At 48.0% G+C, this 17,617-nt stretch overlaps 1 protein-coding gene across 2 annotated transcripts in view; it reads right to left on the bottom strand.

Annotated features, from left to right (window-relative positions):
- Positions 1–6,539: 6,539 nt before the first annotated feature.
- The window catches only part of CACNG7 (calcium voltage-gated channel auxiliary subunit gamma 7), a 34,673-nt gene continuing 23,595 nt past the window's right edge, over positions 6,540–17,617 (bottom strand). Inside the window, exons 5-6 of one of the 2 annotated variants that reach the window (NM_031896.5) lie at positions 8,875–9,020; positions 6,540–8,454 (exon numbers count right to left, since the gene is read on the bottom strand). In NM_031896.5, the coding sequence (NP_114102.2) occupies positions 8,197–8,454; positions 8,875–9,020 (404 nt within the window). In that variant the 3' untranslated portion in view covers positions 6,540–8,196. The remainder of the gene's footprint in view (positions 8,455–8,874; positions 9,021–17,617) is intronic. The other variant, NM_001384801.1, reaches the window with a different exon arrangement.

The following is a 17,617-nucleotide window of genomic DNA, read 5'->3' as shown; positions in this document are numbered from 1 at the left end:
GTGATCTTGGCTCACTGCAACCTCCGCCTCCCGGGTTCAAATGATTCTTCTGCCACAGCCTCCCGAGTAGCTGGGGTTACAGGTGCCCGCCACCACCCCCAGCTAATTTTTTTTGTATTTTTAGTAGAGACAGGGTTTCACCATGTTGGTCAGGCTGTTCTCGAACTCCTGACCTCATGATCCACCTGATTTGGCCTCCCAAAGTGCTGGGATTACAGGCGTAAGCCACTGCGCCCAGCCGCAAAAGAAATATCTTCATAAAGATATTTCTATTTATTGATTTCTAGATAAAAGTCTGGCACAGGCTTTCTCAATCACTGTCGCACCAGTCACATCGGAGACCAGATGATTCTTTGCCATGGGTGGCCTTCCTGCACATTTCAGGGTCTATTCCAGAACTTGCTAGGTTCCCGTAGCACCTCACTCCCCCCAGCCCTGAGTTGTGACATCCAAAAATATCTCTGGACAGCCGGGCGCGGTGGCTCACGCTTGTAATCCCAGCACTCTGGGAGGCCGAGGCAGGCGGATCACGAGGTCAGGAGATCGAGACCATCCTGGATAACATGGTGATACCCCGTCTCTACTAAAAATACAAAAAATTAGCCGGGCGTGGTGGCGGGCGCCTGTAGTCCCAGCTACTCGGGAGGCTGAGGCAGGAGAATGGCGTGAACCCGGGAGGCAGAGTTTGCAGTGAGCCGAGACTGAGCCACTGAACTCCAGCCTGGGCGACAGAGCAAGATTCCGTCTCAAAACAAAAAACAAACAAACAAAAAAAAGCAAAAACAAAAATATCTCTGGACATTGCCAAATGCAACCTGGGGGCAACATGACTTCCAGTTGAGAGCCACTGTCCTAAAGGAAGAAAGTGGGAACAGTCACTCTCTCTGGGAAATGAGGCTGGAATTGAGAAGAGTGAAGAGAAAGCTACTTTCTTTTTTCTTCTCTTTTTCTTTTTCTTTTTTTTTTTTTTTTTTTTTTTTTGAGACGGAGTTTCACTCTTGTTGCTGAGGCTGAATCTCGGCTCACTGTAACCTCTGCCTCCCGGGGTTCAAGCAATTCTCCTGCCTCAGCCTCCCAAGTAGCTGGGATCAGAGGCATGTGCCACCACGCCCGGCTAATTTTGTATTTTTAGTAGAGACTATGTCATGGGATTTCACTAGGTTGGCCAGGCTGGTCTCAAACTCCTTACCTCAAGTGATCCACCCGCCTTGGCCCCCCAAAGTGCTGGGATTACAGACGTGAGTCACCATGCCCAGCCAAAAGCTACTTTCTTTATACCCTTCTCTGATGCTGAAACTTTTAAATCATGACTGAGTATTACATTTCAGGGCCAGGCACGGTGCCTCACTCCTGTAACCCCAGCACTTTGGGAGGCCAAAGCGGGCAGATCACCTGAGGTCAGGGGTTTGAGACCAGCCTGGCCAACATGGTGAAACCCCATCTCTACTAAAAATACAAAAAATCAGCCGGGCGTGGTAGCACATGCCTGTAATCCCAGCTACTTGGGAAGCTGAGACAAGAGAATCACTTGAACCTGGGAGGCGGAGGTTGCAGTGAGCAGAGATCGTGCCATTGCACTCTAGCCTGGGTGACAAAAGTGAAACTCCGTCTCAAATAAATTAATCAATTTATTATAGAAATAGAAAAAAATTTAAAATAGAAAAAAATTAAAAATTAAGAATAATAAATAAATAAATAAATTCGTAATTAAAATGAGTTTATTGTTCACATAAATTACCTCTCTGCAATGGACCACTACATAGTCATTAGAGGAATTAGGTAAATCTTACTAACTCTGTGACATACAGCATTAGCATTGAAACCTTTGAATGCAGGATCCCTCCGTACACTTAACTGTAGAGAGCTGGTGGCTCACACTTGTAGTCCCAACACTTCGGGAGACCGAGGTGAGAGGATCATTTGAGGCCGTGAGTTTGAGACTCCATCTTTACAAAAAAAAATTAAAATACTAGCTGGGCATGGTGGTGCTCACCTGTAGTATTTGCTACTCAGGAGGCTGAGATGGGAGGATTGCTTGAACCTGGGAGTTCAAGGTTGCAATGAGCTATGATAACCCCACTGCACTTCAGCTTGGGCAACAGAGCAAGATCTTGTCTCTAAAAATAAAATTAAAAAAAAAGAAAATTGTAGGGGACCCCAAAGAGCTTTTCAAATTTGTGCTATGTCTATCGATATTTTGCATATTTGCAATTCAAACTGAGAAGAAAATCTAAAATATGTATTTAAGTAAAATAATCAGCTTATTGTATATTTACATAAGCAACTTACTTTAATAAAAATAACTAGTTTCCAAAATTAAAAAATTATATAATGGTATTGGTTTATATTTTTTAAAATAGATTTAACGTTTGACTCAACAGAAGAAAGTCAGTCTCATATCTGCTTCTGTGTTCAGTCGTGTTCTTACTTCCTGTGAAGCCTCCAGACTCTATACACTCATGAGAGAATAAGAATGAAAAAAAGGAAAATATCTTAGTATTACGATAAAAATGCCTTTGACCTTGTGGACTTCCTAAATGAGTCTCAGGGATGTTCCAGCTCCCCAGGACACATTTTGAAAAGCACTGGTATGTGGTATTGTCCTGTAAACCAGTGTGGTCTAAGGGGGGCAGTATAGGGTAGGGTGGAAGCATTTAGCTAGACCCTGATGCAGGCTTGGGAGCTCAGGGAAGGCTTCCTGGTGGAAGGAGCATGTAAGTTGAATCTCAAGAGTGGACAGAACCCGGTGTGGTGGCTGATGCCGGCAATCTCAGCACTTCGGGAGGCTCAGGTCAGCGGATTGCTTGAGCTCAGGAGTTTGAGACCAGCCTGGGCAACATGATGAGACCCCTTCTCTACCAAAAATACAAAAAAAAAAAAAAAAATAGCCAGGTCTGGTGGTGCTTGCCTGTGGTCTCAGCTACCGGGGAGGCTGAGGTGGGAGGATGGCTTGAGCCTGGGAAGTCAAGGCTGCAGTGAACCAAGATTGTGCCACTGCACTCCAGCCTGGGTGACAGAGCAAGACCCTGTCTCAGAAAGAAAAAAAGAGTGGATAGAGGTTTTGCCATATGGCTGAGAGATGGAAGGGGATTCCTCGGAAGGAAACCCTCAGAACAGCAAGGAGCTGGGAATGGTAGGGAAGACAACTTCAGTCTGCAGGAGGCAGCAGTGGGGACGGCATATGTTGAGACTTGTGCTCTTGGCAAAAGGACATAGGTGAGGAGCTTAGATTTACTTCTAAGGGCAATAGGGAGATATAGGTCATTGATAAACAGATGGAACCAGGTGGCTTCAATATACACAGAGGGCCAGGCATGGTGGCCCACACCTGTAATTCCAGCACATTGGGAGGCCAAGGAGGGCAGATCACCTGAGGTCAGGAGTTTGAGACCAGCCTGGCCAACATGGCGAAACCCTGTCTCTACTAAAAATACAAAATTAGCTGGGAGTGGTGGCGTGTACCTGTAATCCCAGCTACTCTGGGGGCTGAGGCAGGAGAATCGCTTGAACCCAGGACTTGGAGGTTTCAGTGAGCCGAGATCATGCCACTGCTCTCCAGCCTGGGCAACAGAGCGAGATTCGTTTAAAAAAAAAAAGCCGGGCACAGTAGCTCACGCCTGTAATCCCAGCACTTTGGGAGGCCGAGGCAGGTGGATTGCCTGAGCTCAGGAGTTCACAGCCAGCCTGGGCAACACGGTGAAACCCCGCCTCTACTAAAATACAAAAAATTAGCCAGGCGTGGCGGTGTGTGCCTGTAGTCCTAGGTATTCGGGAGGCTGAGGCAGGAGAATTGCTTGAACCCAGAAGGCAGAGGTTGCAGTGAGTCAAGATGGCACCACTGCACTCCAGCCTGGACAACAGAGCAAGACTCCATCTCAAAAAAAAAAAAAAAAAAAAAAAATATATATATATATAGAGAGAGAGAGAGAGAGAGATAAATAGATGGAACCAGGTGGCTTCAATATACACAGAGGGCCAGGCATGGTGGCCCACAACTGTAATTCCAACACTTTGGGAGGCCAAGGAGGGCAGTATATATACACACACACACACACAAAGGTATACAGCTTAGCGGATAAGTATTGTCGACACAAGAGACTCCCAGGATTCAAATTTTAGCTTGACCGCTTACTAGCTGTGTGACCAGGAGAAAGCTAATTACCCTCTCTGTGTCTCAGGATCTCATTTATAAAGTGAGAATGATACTAAGAGTACTAAACCTCCTGAGGTTACAGAATGTAAAAGGCTTAGGACTGAAACACAAAGTGGCTGGCATGTAAGCACTCAATAAATTACGCAATTAATTTATGCAAACAATTGTTATTAAGCAGCCTTGGAAAACAGTAGAGTTATATAACATACTAAATGAGCCCCATGCATTCTCATTTGAAACTGGAAGGCCCAGAACTATGTGCATTACATGATAAATGTATAAAATAAAAATATGTATACCACATACTCATCTGTATGTGGATTTAAACACATGCATATATGCTTGAATATGCATAGAGTATTCCTGAAATTATACATTGAAAACTAATAATGCCTCAGGAAGAGGAGGATTTCAGAATGTTAGGACATCCTGACTTACTTTGGATAAATAAAGGTGGAACTTTTCACAGCATTTCTTTAAAACAAATCAAAAAACTCACCAATCTCGAACTGTGGGATTACATTCCATTTTCAAAGTTTAATAAACAAAAGAACTAGCTTGATTTTTTAAAAGAACACAACCCTTAGGATTTTAGGTTGTTAACTTCCCCATAGTGTTAGCAAGTATCTAGCATTTGCGTCACCACAGCCCATCCTGCAGGCAAGGCAGACAGCACCAATTGAGCAGCACGGCAGACAGCACCAATCAATGGCAACACTCTTTCCCACTGAGCAGATGTTCAGAATCCTTCTAACACCGGGCTCCAAGCAGCCCGTACGAATCACTTAGTTTTGACAACGAAGCTGAAACATGATTTGCCATCCCGAATCTCAAGCATGACCTCCAGAAATTGGTGAAATTATTGAAAATGACTTAGAATATTTCCCTCCGGGAGTCCAGTCCTGCTGATTCAGAACTCTTTCCTGCTAACTTACCCCCACCAACCTCCCTATTCCAGAGGGATTTGGAATCCTTCTAAACCAACCAGTGCCCTCGGTATTTTTTTATTTTTTTATAGAAAAAGAAACTGAAGCCCCAGAGATTCAAAGATTTGCTCAAGGTCACAGAATGAGTTTGCACCAAATCCATAGTAGTAAATTATAGCAGCTAAGAGTGTGGGCTCTGAGGTCAGACAGGCTGGGCATGAATTCTCCTCCGCATCTTACCAGCTGGGTGGCCTCACTTCCCTGAGCCTCGGTTTCTTCATCTATAAAATGGGGCTAATTGGGATGCCTGATTCACAGGATGGTTGGAAGGATTCAATGAGCTAATAAATCAAAAGTGCCTAGTGCAGGCTGGGTAGGGTGGCTCATGCCTGTAATTCTAGCACTTTCGGAGGCCGAGGCAGGAGGATCCCTTGAGCCCAGGAGCTCAAGACCAACCTGGGCAACACAGGGATACCCTGTCTCTATTTTTTTTTAAAAAAGTGCTTAGTGCGGTGTCTGATACCCTAATGATGACCTGATAAATGTGTCTTGGTTGTTAACAGTTGTGACTGTAACAGCAAAAGTTATTCTGATGGATCCTTAAGAGGCCAAATCTAGACAAGGCAAAGAAGGGAAGATCTGGCACGGTGTTTCCTTTACAATACGCTGCAAAAATAAGCTTATCAAACATTTAGGCTGTTCTCAGTCTCTCAGTATAGTGGGTGAGACTGCAGATTGTGGCACCCACTTTCCGAGCCTGCCTCCTTCACCTGCAAAAATGGGGTGATAATTCCTACATACAGGGTTGCTGTGAATGTCTAATGAGATCATGTAAGGAAGGAAGGCGTCTGGCTCAGGGTAGGTGTGCAGTAAATGGTAGCAGTCATTTCTTAACAGAGGGACTGAGCCAAGCATTGGGAAAACCCACCACTGCCTAGTGCAAGGGGGAGGAAGCCTGAGCTTCAGAACCAGATAAACTTGGTTTTATTATTATTTTGAGATGGAGTCTCACTCTGTCGCCCAGGCTGGCGTGCAGTGCACTCGGCTCACTGCAGCCTCCGCCTCCCAAGTTCAAGCGATTCTCTGCTTCAGCCTCCCGAATAGCTGGGATTACAGGCGTGAGCCACCGTGGCCAGCTAATTTTTTTGTGTTTTTAGTAGAGACAGGGTTTCGCCATGTTGGCTGGGCTGGTCTCGAACTCCTGACCTCAAGTGATCCCCCCAGCTTGACCTCCCAAAGTGCTGGGATTACAAGCGTGAGTCACCGCACCAGGCCTAAACTTGGCTTTAGCAAATGGCTCTGCCAACTTCCACCTGTGTGATCTTGGATACGTCACTTCACCTCTCTGGACCTATCTGCAAAATGAGGCCAATAAATTGACCGTGCAGGCTTGGGGGAAAAGTTAAAAGAAGCAATGAATGTCGAAGGAAGCCGAGTCATAGTAACAGTACTCTACGTGGTCATAATAATACCAGGAGAAAGCGTTTATTGATCCTGACCAGTATCATTTACGGTCCTGCATGCTTTACACGGACTGAAGTATAAAGCGCTGCCGTTGATAATGATGATGATTAAGTCATTTAACAACGACCCATCTAACGTCATTCTGCAGTACTTTAGGCCTGCAACCCTAGAAGCAGAGACCCAGACTAAGCCCCCTCTATCCAATCCCTTCCCTCCGGGCAGGCGGAGACGTGTTTGAAATAAAGTTTATTGAAGTTTCTGTCGATATTTACATATGATACACGGTAAATAACAGAGCCAGGCCCCCCACCCCACCCTGTCCCCACCCCAGTGCCCCCCTCCCCCCAGCCTCGTTAAAAATCGCTGCGTAAAGTCAGGTTAACTGCGGCGGGTCCCCCCTCCCCCCTCCCACCTAAGATGCAAACTAAAAGCCCCCGTCCCTCCCCTGCCCCCCTCCCCCCACCCCGGGGGCCATTCTGGTTCCGTGTACAGCACTGTGCTACCTCGCCCCTCTTTCCCTAATAAGGGGGGGTGGGCGAGTTCCTGGTGACCTCCTCTCCCCCCAAAATCTGTCCAACGGGGCGGACGGGCCCTTGAAAGAGGCCAGAGTTGGGGTTCTGAGGGGGGAAGAGGGACGTCAATGAGGAGGAGAGCCAGAAAATGGAAGACTTAGAGGTTTGGGGGGGGTGTCGACCCCCGCTACTGCCCCTCCCTCCCTCGACGGGGCCTCGAGGGGGGAGAGGCGGGCACAGGTGCGGAGATGGCGTGGGGGAATTCCCTCCACCCTAGGGTCCCCATTCTGGCCGTCTGGTGTGCGCCTAGGGCGGGATGCACCCAAGGGCTTGGGACGAACGGGTGAAGGGAGGAAAGGAGAGAAAGAGTTAAAGGAGGAGGAAGACGAAAAAGAAGCCAAGGATAGCTGAGAAAGCAAGAAGATCCTTTAGACAAGAGCCCCCTAAAAGGCAGGTAACCTTCAGGAAGCAGAAAAGAGCCCAGCCGGTGAGAAAGAATGGGACCTTCCAGGGAAGTAGGGGAGATGGGGAGGGAAGGGCCAGGTTAACCGTACCCGTGGCTTCCAGCCCCCTTCCCTACGCCACCCCGGGGCTGCGGGTGGAGCAAGCCGGCCCTCCCACTGCACCGGAGGACCCAGCAGGTCAGGAGGTGAGATTAGGCAGGGAAAAAGGAAGCCCAGGTTAGAAGGGAGAAGAGGATGGTCGGTATTCCCGACGGCTGCCCGAACCTGCTCTCCAGCCCAGCGCCCCTGCGGTGAGGTCCGAGGTTGGGGAGCTCTGGGGAGCTGGGCGCTTGCACCGCCTCTGGCTGCTCCCAGCTCAGAGCAGGTGGAGAACGAGGGAGGAGCTAATTTTCTTGGAGAGGAGGGGCCAGAGGAAAGGGGCGGGCCAACGAAGGGGAGGAGTCATTTGGGAGTGAGAGGGACCAATGAAAAGGAGAGGTCGGGAAAAGAGGGCGCGGCCATTGAAATAAGGGAGTCTGTGGGCGGAGCCATTGGGAGGAGGGCGGGGCCTAAAGCTGGCGCAGCCTCCTCCGGGTGGGAGCGAGGAGTCCCGAGGACGGAAGGGGGCGCTGCATTGCAGGGAGACCCCCCTAAGACGAGGAGGAGGAGGAGGCAGGGGGAGCTCCGAGGGGCGGGCCTCAGCAGGGCGAGGTGGAGATGTGCAGGTGGTCCGGGTACTTGATGGCGGGAGGGTAGTTCTGCGTCATTTGGATGGACACGTCGCTGGAGATGTCGGAGGGGCTCCGGCCGCGGCGCCACGCCTCGGGCTGCAGGAACTGGCCCGAGTAGTCGGAGCAGTCGCTGAGACGCGGGCGGTAGAAGGCCGGGTGTGGACGGTACATCTCCTCCTCCGCGTAGCGCTTGGTGAACAGGTACACGGACATCACGCCGGCCCCCTGCGGCAAGGCAAGGTCAGAGTCCCAGGGGCGCCCCCCTGCGCATCCCCGGACCCCGACTCATCTCCTCTCACTCCAGGACTCAGAGTCCCCACCCCAAGCCCCTTCCTATCCCAGGACCCAGGATCAGGGCTCCAGCCCTCTCTTTCCCCGGGACCTCAGGAGTCCAAGCCCTCAGGTTGGCCCCTCCCTCAAGACCCAGGAGTCCCAGTCTCCAGACCCCTCCTCCCCCAGGATCCCAAAAGTTGGAGCTCTCAGACCCCTCTTCCTCCAGGACCCAGGGGTTAGACCCTCAGCTACCACCTCCCTCTGACGCCAGAGTCTGCATCTCCAGCCTCTCCTTCCTCCTGGACTCAGGAACCAGGCCCCCAAGACCTCTCTCCATTCAGAACTCTAGAGTCTAGGTCCCACGGACGTCACCTCTTTGAGTAGGAAGGAGGAAGCGGCGAAGGCAAAAGACCACCCGTAGCGATAATGAAAATACTGCTCAGAGCTGCTGGGCCTGTTCATGACCTCGTCGTTGATGCTGGAGATGTAAAGAACCAAGCCCACCACCAAGGAGAGGCCTAGGGGAGCAGAGGGGGTGCCCTCGTCCATTAGAAGTGGGCCCCTTTTCCCAGCCCCAGCCCCACCTCACTGCCTTCCCCTCCTCCCCATTCTGTCCTGGACTAACTTCCCTGAAGCCCCTTGTATGCTGGGCCTTGGTTGGGTGCAGGGAGCCCAGAGATGAATCAACAACCACCTCCCCCTTTATCCCCCTAAATCTGCCATCCAGGAGCTCACAATACAATTGGAGAAGGAAAATAGGAACACACTGATTAAGTCACATATAAGGTGATAGGTGCTACAAGGAAGTAGCACGCTGTGTGGGACTCTGGAAGGAGTGCCAAACCTGCCTGGGGCAGGGGCAAGAGAAATGAAGGAAAGATTTCTTTGTTCAAGTCTTCTTTTCTTTTCTCTCTTTTTTTTTTTTTGAAATGGAGTCTCACTCTGTGGCCTGGGCTGGAGTGCAGTGGCCCGATCTCGGCTCACCGCAACCTTCAACCTCCCAGGTTCAAGCGATTCTCCTGCCTCAGCCTCCCAAGTAGCTGGGATTACAGGCGCCCGCCACCACTCCCGACTAATTTTTTTTTTTATATTTTTAGTAGAGACGGGGTTTCACCATGTTGGCCAGGCTGGTCTCAAACTCCTGACCTCAGGTGATCCACCCACCTCGGCCTCCCCAAATGCTAAGATTACAGGTTTGAGCCACCGCGCCCGGCCTTAAAGGATGAGGCCCAGAGAAGAATAAGGGCACACTGGCAGAGTGCACAGCATGGGCAAAGGTTTCGGAAGGAGGGAAAATAGAGCTGGTCCACCCATGTAGCTGTAACATAAGCTGTAGCCACAAGAAATGAGGTTAGAGAAAGGGGAAGGTATAGCCATGGTGAGCCTCGAATGCCGGGCCCAGGAGCTGGGTGTTGACGCCAAGGGTGCTAGGGAGCTACACAAAGTTTGTAGCAGAGGAAGGACAGGGCCAGATCCCAGTGTTAGAAGAAACTTTGGGGGCTGGTTGATGCTGGGAACAGACTGGAGGGAGACATATTCCAGGGCGAAGAGGATGAGGCCTGAGCTGAGGCTGTGTGGATAATAATTGCAACAATAGCAATAATAATAGCAACGACTTATATAGGTCTTGGTCTGTGCCAGGCACTGTTCTTGGTGTTGTGTATATATATACATTCATTCAAACTTCACAACACCTCTTTGAAGGAGGTACATTTTTAACACCATTTACAATTGAGGAAATAGAGCATACGGACAGTGTGCAGAGGAGAGGTCCAATCTGAGAATTTCTAAGAGGCGATTATCATTTTCTCCAGATGAAATTTCCTCTAAACAGTAACCATGCCAAGAGTGGCTTAAGGAGGCTATAAAGTTCCCTGCCTTAAATGTATCTAACTAATCCCTATCAACCTCTTCCCCTAGAATCCTACATTCTGTGTGCCACACACAGAATAAGCCCAAATTCCTTCCACTGTCTACACCGGTGGTCGGCAAACCATGGTCCATGGACGAAACCCAGCTCACCCCCTCATTGTGTATGGCCCACCAGCTAAGAATGGCTTTCACATAAGTAAATGATGTTAAAAATCAAAACAAGACTGGTATTTTGTGGCACATAAAAAGTATATGAATTTCATTTGGCAGCGCCTCAAAAAGTTAAAGATAGAATTATCATATGACCCAGCAATTCCACTCCTAGGTATGTCCCCAAGAGAAGTGGAAACATATGTTCATACAAAAACGCATACACGGATGTTTGTAACAGCGTTATGCGTAATAGCCAAAAAGCGGAAACAGCCCAAATGCCCATCAGCTGATGAATGGATAAACAAAATGTGGTATATCCATATACAGGAATACTATTCAGCCAAAAAAGGGAACGATATACTGATTCATGCTACCATAGGGATGAACCTAGAAAGCAAGCTAAAAGAAGCCAGATGCAAAATATCACATATTGTGTGATTCCATTTATATGCAATGTCCAGAATAGGCAAATCCACAGAGACAGAAAGTAGATTAGTGGTTGCCAGGGAATAGGATGGAGGGGGAAATTGTGTCTGGCTGCTAAGGTGTGTGAGGTTTCTTTTGAGAATAATGAAAATGTTGTGAAATTAGCTAATGGAGATGGTTGCACAACCTTGTGGATGTACTGAAACATCACTGAATTATATGAAATTTATAGTATGTGAATTACATCTCAATTTTGTTTTTTGTTTTTTGGAATTTTTTGAGACAGATTCTTGCTCTGTCACCTAGGCTGGAGTGTAGTGGTGCAATCTCGGCTCACCGCAACCTCTGCCTCCTGGACTCAAGCGATTCTCCTGCCTCAGCCTCCTGCGTAGCTGGAATTAACAGGCACCCGCCACCATGCCTGGCTAATTTTTGTATTTTTAGTAGAGACAGGGCTTCACAATGTTGACCAGGCTGGTCTCAAACTCCTGACCTTAAGTGATCTGCCCACCTTGGCCTCCCAAAGTGCTGGGATTACAGGTGTGAGCCACCACACCCGGCCTTTTTTGTTTTGTTTTGTTTTGTTTTGAAGACAGGGTCTTGCTCTGTCACCCAGGCTGGAGAGCACTGGGACAATCATGGCTCACTGCAGCCTTCACTTCCCAGGCTCAAGTGATCCTCCCACCTCAGCCTCCCTAGTAGCTGGGACTACAGGTGCACACCACCACGCCCGGCTAATTTTTTGTATTTTTTGCAGAGACAGGGTTTTGCCATGTTGCCCAGGCTGGTCTCGAACTCCTGATCTCAAGTGATCTGCACACCTCATCTCCCAGAGTGCTGGGATTACAGGCGTGAGCCACTGTGCCTGGCTTTATATCTCAACTTTTTAAAGTACATTAATTTTAAATTTTGGTTTCTACAAATGATAGTGGAACACAGCCACACCCATTTGTTTACATATTGCCTGTGACTGGTTTTTTGCTACAACCACAAGGCTGAGCAGTTACAAGAGAGACTGGGTGGCCAATAAAGCTGAAGGTATTTATTATTTGGCTCTTTACAGAAAACTTCGCTGACCTCTTAGACTGCAGTATATAAATGGTCCGGTACCTGCCCACACCATCTCTGATCAGTTTCTCCTTGTTTCTTTTTCTTAGACCACCTAACTTTCTTTACTTTTTTTCTTTTTGGGACAGGGTCTTGCTCTGTTGTCCAGGCAGGAGTGCATTGGTGCAATCATAGCTCACTGCAGCCTCCACCTCCCTGGCTCAAGCAATCCTCACACCTCAGACTCATGAGTAGCTGGGACAACAGGCATGCACCACCATGCGGGGCTAACTTTTGCATTTTTTTGTAGAGACAGGGTCTCCCCATGTTGCCCAGGCTGGTCTCGAACTCCTGAGCTCAAGCAGTTCTTCCACCTTGGCCTCCCAAAGTGCTGGGATTACAAGCGTGAGCCACCACACTCGGCCTAGAACACCTAACTTTCTTGCTCTTCCTTGAACTCCTCAAGCTCACTTCTGCCTCAGGGCCTTTGGTCTTGCCATTCCTTCTACCTGGAATGCTCTTCCCCCAGATTTCCCCATGTCTATTTCTGTCACTTAGATCTCTCCTCACTTGTTGCCTCTTTAGAAAGACCTTCTATGGGCCAGGCGCAGTGGCTTAAGCCTGTAATCCCAGCACTTTGGGAGGCCCAGGTGAAAGGATCACTTGAGACCAGGGGTTTCAGACCAGCCTGGCCACCGTGGTGAAACCTCGTCTCTACTAAAAATACAAAAATTAGCTGGGTGCGATGGCACACACTCGTAACCCCAGCTACTCGGGATGCTGAGGCAGGAGGATTACTTGAACCCAGGAAGCAGAGGTTGCAATGAGTCAAGATCGTGCCACTGCACTCCAGCCTGGGCAACAAGAGCAAAACTCCGAGAAGGAGGGGAGGGGAGGGGAGGGGAGGGGAGGGAAGGGAAGGGGGGAGGAGACTTTTATGATCTCCCTGTTGAAAAAAGTAGATTTCCCTCACTCAAAATTTGAGAAATGCAAATGAAAAATATGATGAGCTACCACTTCTCATCAACCGGGTAGTCAGAAGTTTAAAAGCTTCACAGCACACTCTTTTGGGGAGGCTGAGAGAATGGACGTTCTTCTACATTGCTGGTGGGAATGCAAAACGGTGCCGCCACGTGAAAGGGGATTTAGTAGCATCTAACAAAATCACACACGGATCTGTCCTTTAACCCAGCAATCCCACTTCCAGGAATTTATCCTGAGGATATCTCTCCCGTGATGGGAAACCACACATGCACAGGCTGATTTATCGCAGCATGACTTGCCGTTGAAAAATAATGGAGGCTGGGCACCGTGGCTCATGAGTGGAATCTCCGCACCTCGGGAGGCCGAGGTGGGCAGATCACTTGAGGTCAGCAGCTCAAGACCAGCCTGGACAACATAGTGAGACCCCATCTCTACTAAAAATAAATAATTAGTTCCTGTTGTCTTAGCTACTTGGGAGGCTCAGGAGGGAGGATCCCTCGAGCCTAGGAGTTCAAGGCTGCAGTGAGCTATGACTGCACCACTGCACTCCCGCCTGGGTGACAGAGGGAGACTGTCTCAAAAAACTCAATTAAGTTAGGCTGGGCACGGTGGCTCATGCCTATAATCTCTGCATTTTGGGAGGCCAAGGTGGGCAGATCACTTAAGGTCAGGAGTTTGAGACCAGCCTGGCCAACATGGTGAAACCTGATCTCTACTAAAAATACAAAAATTAGCCAGGCATGGTGGTGGGTGCCTGTAATCCCAGCTACCTGGGAGGCTGAAGCACAAGAATTGCTTGAACCCAGGAGGCAGAGGTTGCAGTGAGCCGAGATCCCACCACTGCAATCCAGCCTGGGCGACAGAGTGAGACTCCGTCTCAAAAAAACAAAAACTAAATTAAAAACAAAATAGAATAAAATACATGAGTCCACACTGATACATATTTAAAATAAGAAAAAAGAGAAAGTTCTTTTCAGTAGCACACCAATTTATCCATGTAGGTGGAATAATAGAGTTAGAAGAAAACACCATTCTGCAATCCTAGTAGTAATGTTAGATTCAGGCAAGAGTCACGAGGGGATGCTCGATTGCTGGATGACAGAATCTCCCCACAGAAGATCTATTAATTATTACAGAGATAAAAAGCTTCCTTTATGGTGAAAGAACCTGGCAGATACTGCCTTAACCAAGTGATCGCAGTTAACATCACCAGCAACAGGGCAGACCTACACCACGGGCCTCCAGAGAAGAGAGCTGAGCAAACCACTCCCTCCTTTATGTCGTGTTCCTGCTGAGAATGCGTAACCTGAATCCACTCATGAGGACAGTGGGACACTCTACAGCCCAACTGGCTGCACTCTTCAAAAACGTCAACATGAAAGATTGAAAAAGAAAAAAAAAGGCAGCAGAGCTCCATAAAAAATGAAAGGTTCACATGGCATCCTCCACGTATTAAAAAAAAAAAAAAATGAAAGGAGACTAAAGAGACACAATAGGGAAATGCAAAGCGTGATCTTAGATTGGATTCTGAATCAGGAAAAAGTAACAGTAAAAAGATAGCATTAGGCCAGGCGTGGTGGTTCACGCCTATAATCCCAGCACTTTGGGAGGCCAAGGCAGGTGGATCACTTGAGGTCAGGAGTTCGAGATCAGCCTGGCCAACATGGAGAAATCCTGTCTCTACTAAAAATACAAAAATTAGCTGGGCATGGTGGTGGGTGCCTGTAATCCCAGCTACTTGGGAGGCTGAGGCAGGAGAATCGCTTGAACCCAGGAGGCAGAAGGTTGCAGTGAGCCGAGATCGCGCCATTGCACTCCAGCCTGGGTACAAGAGCAAAACTCCAACTCAAAAAAAAAAAAAAAAAAAAAAAGACAGTATTGGAGGGTGGGGGCGGTGGCTCACGCCTATAATCCCAGTAGTTTGGGAGGCTGAGGTGAGTGGATCACTTGAGCTTAGGAGTTTGAGACCAGCCTGACCCACATGGTGAAACCTTGTCTCTACTAAAAACACAAAAATTAGCCAGGCGTGGTGGCATTAGCCTGTAGTTCCAGCTATTTGGGAGGCTGAGGCACAAGAATCCCTGTAACCCAGAAGGCAGAGGTTGCAGTGAACCAAGATTGAGCCACTGCACTCCAGCCTGGGTGACAAAGCAAGACTGTCTCAATTAAAAAAAAAAAAAAAGACAGTATTGGGACATTGGTGAAATTTAAATGTAGGACTAGATATTAGCTATAGTATTTTATAGACCTTAAACTTCCTGAATTTGATTATTGTACTGTGGTTAGGTAAAAGAATGCCCTTGTTCTTAGGAAATACTTGCTGAACTAGTGAAGTGTTTGCAACTTATATTCAAGTGGTTGCACCAATGTGTGTACATATATATTTTTTGTGCACACATATGCATATATTTGTGTGTATATATGTATATATAACGTGTGTATACATAGGTATATATGTATATGTAATATGTGTATACATATATGTGTATATAGATCTATATATATATATGGAGAGAGAGAGAGACAGAAAGGCAAATGTTGTAAAATGTTGAAAAACTGGGCTAGGTGAAGGATATGAGAGTTCATTGTATTATTTTTACAAGCGTCCTGTAGTCTTAAATTTTCTCCAAAATAAAAAATGTAAAATACGAGTATCCCAAACCAAGATTTTTTTTTTTCAAAATGCTAAAGTATTACCTGCACACTAGTATTTCATTTACTTATTTATCTATTGAGATGGGGTCTCGCTCTATGGCCCGGGCTGGAGTGCAATGGCATGATCATGGCTCACTGCAGCCTCAAACTCCTGGGCTCAAGTGATCCTCCTGTCTCAGCCTCTGGAGTAGCTGGGACAACAGGCATGCGCCACCACACCTGGCTAATTTTTTTTTTTTTTTAAGAGACAGGGTCTCAATGTTGACCACGCTGGTCTCAAACTCTTAGGCTCAAGCAATCCTCTCGCCTCGGAATCCCAAACTGCTAGGATTACAGGCATGAGCCACTGTGCCTGGCCTTGCTTTTTCATTGTAAAAAGAAAAACCTACCTTTTCCATGGGGAGCTCTGATGGACACCATCTTTACCAAGGGTTCAAGCTGGTACCACTCACTGTGGGACAACCTGACATTATTTGCTCCCTGGAGTAACGTGATACAAAGTATGCAGCGGCACCTCTGACTTTTCTTGCCAATGATGTTTAACGTGAATGTTATCAAGCCTCTAGTCTAGACAGAACTTCCAGGTTACAGAAAATACAAGGAAAGAGGAACAAATGAAGTGTTACCATGAAGAAACAAATAAATTCAAGATGCAGCTGGGAGCAGTGGCTCACGCCTGTCATCCCAGCACTTTGGGAGGCTGAGGTGGGTGTATCACCTGAGGTCAGGAGTTTGAGACCAGCCTGACTAACATGGAGAAACCCTGTCTCTACTAAAAATACAAAATTAGCCGGGCGTGGTGGTGCAGGCCTGTAATCCCAGCTACTTGGGAGGCTGAGGCACGAGAATTGTTTGAACCCGGGAGATGGAGGTTGCAATGAGCTGAGATTGCGCCATTGCACTCCAGCCTGGGTGACAAAGCGAGACTCTGTATCAAAAATAAATAAATAAATAAATAAAAATTAAACAATAAACCCAAGATGCAGGACATTCACCAGGATACCCTGTCCCTCAGTCTTCAGAAAAACGATGACATGGAGCAAGCTAATGACACTCAAACCAGTGATCAACTCTAATATCTCAAAAAGAGAGACAATCAGACAATCTGTGTCTCTTGATGTAATAGACACAGCAGGATGTGAATAGCACCACCTATGTATAAAGTGTTCTTGCCAAAAAAAAAAAAAAATCAAACCTGCATCCATCTAAGCTTCTTTTAGATCTTGGCTTACAAGAAAACACAGGAATAGGCTGAGTGTGGTGGCTCACACCTGTAATCTCAGCACTCTGGGAGGCTGAGGCGGGTGGATCACCTGAGGTCAGGAGTTTGAGACCAGCCTGTCCAAAACATGGTGAAACCCCCTCTCTACTAAAAATACAAAAATTAGCCAGGTGTGGTGTTGGGCGCCTATAGTCCCAGCTACTCAGGAGGCTGAGGCAGGAGAATTGCATGAACCTGGGAGGCAGAGGTTGCAGCGAGCCGAGACCGCACCACTGCACTCCAGCCTGGTGACAGAGCGAGAGTCCATCTCAAAAAAAAAAAAAAAAAAAAATTGGCCAGGCGTGGTGGCGGGCACCTGTAATCCCAGCTACTCAGGAGGCTGAGGCTGGAGAATCACTTGAACCCAGGAGGTGGAGGTTGCAGAACCCAGGAGGTGGAGGTTGCAGTGAGCCGAGATTGCACCACTGCACTCCAGCCTGGGTGACAGAGTGAGACTCTGTCTCAAAAAAAGAAAAGGCTGGGCTCAGTGGCTCACGCACAAAGTGCTGTAATCCCAGCACTTTGGGAGGCCAATGCGGGCGGATCACCTGAGGTCAGGAGTTTGAGACCAGCCTGGCCAACATGGCGAAACCCCATCTCTATTAAAATACAAAATTAGCCGGGCGTGATGGCAGATGCCTGTAATCCCAGTTACTCGGGAGGCTGAGGCCAGAGAATCGCTTTAACCTGGGAGGCGGAGGTTGCAGTGCCTGGACG

Source organism: Homo sapiens, chromosome 19 (assembly GCF_000001405.40).
Source record: "Homo sapiens chromosome 19, GRCh38.p14 Primary Assembly".
Taxonomy (NCBI): Eukaryota; Metazoa; Chordata; class Mammalia; order Primates; family Hominidae; genus Homo; species Homo sapiens.
Note: the sequence above shows the minus strand (reverse complement) of the source record. Positions and strands in the feature narration are given on the sequence as shown.